The 3,614-nt window shown below is 40.4% G+C and overlaps 1 annotated feature.

The window, feature by feature from the left end:
• Positions 221 to 433: a silencer, noted in NCBI's record as "fragment chr12:61975906-61976118 (GRCh37/hg19 assembly coordinates)". NCBI's record gives its function as "represses an EF-1alpha promoter that drives an FKBP-Casp9 reporter gene in an ReSE screen in K562 erythroleukemia cells {active_cell/tissue: K562}" and the evidence as "EXISTENCE:reporter gene assay evidence [ECO:0000049][PMID:32094911]".

Raw genomic sequence — 3,614 nt, 5'->3', positions numbered from 1 at the left:
AGTAAATTAGTGAAAGTACTAAAAGTCTCTGATATGCAGAAATAATGGCATAAGCTGTCTTTCTGTCTCCTCTCTCTCTCTGCCTCAGCTGCCAGGCAGGAAAGGGCCCCCTGTCCAGTGGACACGTGACCCACGTGACCTTACCTATCATTGGAGATGACTCACACTCTTTACCCTGCCCCTTTTCCTTTGTATCCCATAAATAACAGCACAGCCAGACATTCGGGGCCACTACCGGTCTCCGTGCATTTGTGGTAGTGGTCCCCCGGGCCCAGCTGTCTTTTCTTTTATCTCTTTGTGTTGTGTCTTTATTTCTACACTCTCTCATCTCTGAACACGGGGAGAGACCCACCGACCCTGTGGGGCTTGTCCCTACAAAAATGGGCAACCAGCAGCCCTTGGGGCTGCTCTGTCTATGGCGTAGCAATTCTTTTATTCCTTTACTTTCTTAATAAACTTGCTTTCACTTTGCACTGCGGACTCACCCTGAATTCTTTCTTGTGCAAGATCCAAGAACCCTCTCTTGGGGTCTGGATTGGGACCCCTTTCCTGGAACAAACACAGTGCTGAAATGCCATTATTAGTAGTCTGGCTCCAGAGCTTGCTGTCTTTGCCAGAGTGTCTCAAACCTTAGTGAGCGTTGGAATCACCTGGGATCCTTATTACACCACAGGTCAGTTCTGGTAGGTCTAGATGGGACTTGAGATTCTGCATCCCAAAAGCTCCCAGGTGATGCCAGTGCTGCTGGTCTACAGGCTGCCTACCACTTTGTCTCATGTTCAAGGAGAGTTCCGTTGGAATCATTCATAGAAAAATAATGGAGGCCAAAATCTTGTTTCTCCCTGGGGTGAATAATTTGGCCATGCTATTTTAGCAGTATATTTTGTTGAGATGTCAGGTTTTTGAAGTTGTATTTTCTGTGCCTTCTATTGTGTCTCCACCTTTCTCCCTTTGAAGAATGTAGCCTCATCCTTTACTTTCCATGCCTCGGGGGCTGTTTTGGGAAAGGAGGAAGAACAATGTTGTTCATATTAGAATGAAAGAGACTTTATTCTATCACCTCTGAAAGCCTCAGCTCATTCAAAATATTTAGGTCCTAAACGTCTTTTAGGGAGTGAAGAGAAAAATTTTCACTTAAGAATGGGGGCTGGTAAGAGAGAGATAGGGGAAGAAAAAGAAGGAGGAGGAAAAGGAAGAAAGGAGGAGAAGAAGGAAGAAGAAAAGGAAGAGCAACATGGCATCTCAGACTGGGAGAGGGTAGAGTTTGATGACTGCCCAAATGAAGGGGTGTTGTGCCCCATTCCCTGACAGAGCTGAAGCAAGTGGCAGAACCTACAAAGGCACCTGTCAAGGAAGGATCAGACACAGCAGCATTCTAAGTGTAAATCCCTTTTTCTTTTCTTTGCGTAGGAGCAGCAATGTGTTAAAGAAATAAATCACATTAGACAGAAAGGGCAAAAAGAAGTTGAGTTTATTATGTCAACTATTGCCAGCAACAGGGGAGAGAGCACACCAAAACTGAGTATGCAGCTATGCTGAAATGAAGGGCCAGAGAGATTTTAAGAACCATGATGGTGGTGGCGGTGATCTTAGGCTACCTGTATTTTCTAGTTGGCCTTACCCACAGGAGGTAGTTTTGCATCTTGGAGCAAGACATCTACAAGAGTTAGCAACATACTCTCCTAGACAGAATGGGAGATGGGAGCGCTATCTTCTTTGATGAATACATTTCAAAAAGATGGTGCCCAGGTTTTTGAGAGAAACATTCTTGGGTTGTAAAATTGGTTTAGAAACTTTTAAACGTATTTACATCTCAAAGGGGCAGAGAAAGAATTGGTAAGATTTCTGAGGTAAATGCTCTAAGAAAAGGGAGGTCAGGGTCCTAGAATCAGAAAGAAGCCTGTCTTCGGTTTCATCAAACTGAGAGAATGTTAAAGACCTCTCGCTCAAAGGTTGCTGTACTTGATGAGATCCCTTTATTTCCGAACTGAAAAGTTTTAACTAAGGCTCAATCACCTCTTTTCTCCCTCAAAGTCCTGATATCTTTAAATATTTCACCATATATGACCTAATTCACCAGATCCAATGCACTCACCAAATATCTTCTTGGCATTGTTCTAAACTGTTTGAAGGATTCTAAGAAGTATGCATTGAAGTTTCCATGAAGACAAATAAGCCTGCCAAGGACTTTTCCTTTAAGAAAGCAAGGCTGTATATGTTTGAGTGTCAAGCACTGTGGGACAGCAGGCCAGAGAAGAAGGTGTTAGTGAGCTTCCTGAAAGAGGCAGCGTCCTCCTAGGACTGTCTCGGTGCCCACGCCTCTTCTGCAGTCTTTCTTATTTTTTTTAAACCACTTTATTATGTAACCGAAAATTACCTCACTCTAACTGAGCCATACTACTGACTTCCAGAATCCCTTTTCTTTTCATTATTTAACCTCTTTGTTCTGATTTCTCATCATCTTATTTTAAAAAGAGAAAATAATAACTCCTTTGGCTGCCTTTTTTTTTTTTAATGAGTCTCTGCTTTCCTCTAGGTTGTTTAAGACAAGTTTTCTCCAAATAGAGCAACATTGTGAATACAAAGCAAAGGTCTGCTCTAGAGTAAGGAAGGAGAAAACTCAATATATTATGCTGAAATTGCTTTATTTAAAATAATGTCTTTTACCTGAAGATTTCAAAGTATTTATGAATTATAGTTCCATGAGCACCACAAAGGACATAGTCCATATATATATATATAATGATCCAGTAGCAATAATAATAATAATAATAGCTGCTTTGCATTTTTTGGCTATATTTGGAGCTAATAAAGCAGGTTTTCTCAAATATTAGATAACATGTAGATTCAGATCTTAAAGCTTTAATCAATGGCTCTTTCTATTGCAAGGATTTGTAGGGATTTCCAGGAGGCAGGAGTTTATGGCCAGCAGGGCCTATGCCCCCTTTTCTTAAATTCTGCTCAGATATTTAACCATCATCTCCTTAGGAATCCTTCCAATACCTTGCTAGTTAAACCAAAACTTTTCAAAGGCAGAAATAATGTCTTGCTAGATATGGTATCATTAGAATTAATTTGTAAATGTAACTAACATTTATTTAACTCCTACTTAGTTCTAGGCAATTTTAGGTGTCACACTCAATGTGAAGAGGACTAAGACAATAAAATATCATCAGTACTAAAAGAAACACAAACCATTCACTTATAAAAGGAGGCCTGTATGGCAGAGGGGCCAGCTAGAAATGGTCAGGGGATTAGTCTGAGGAAAGGGGATAAAATAATGATTTGAAGATGTTCTGTCTGCACTGCAGGGTGGAATTACTTAGTGGTATCAGAGATAACTTGCATTTCAAACTGTTTTATTGTGTGGCAAATGTGAAATATCCCAGTAAGGTCAGCTAGGTTTAAATGCACTTGAGGATGAAACTCAGCTTGCTGATAAGGGGAATGATTTAGAATAAATATTAATAGTAAAAGCTTAGACAACAACTTTGTAGAATGAGTATACCTCACAAAGCAAAGGAATTGCCTAAGCTTGCAATGCTTCAGAATTTGATTTTGTGTTCTTCAGTGGCATAGTGGTTTACCTGATAGTTCTGTAGAGTTTGTCCAAT

Source organism: Homo sapiens, chromosome 12 (assembly GCF_000001405.40).
Source record: "Homo sapiens chromosome 12, GRCh38.p14 Primary Assembly".
Taxonomy (NCBI): Eukaryota; Metazoa; Chordata; class Mammalia; order Primates; family Hominidae; genus Homo; species Homo sapiens.
This window is presented reverse-complemented; position numbering and strand designations above follow the sequence as displayed.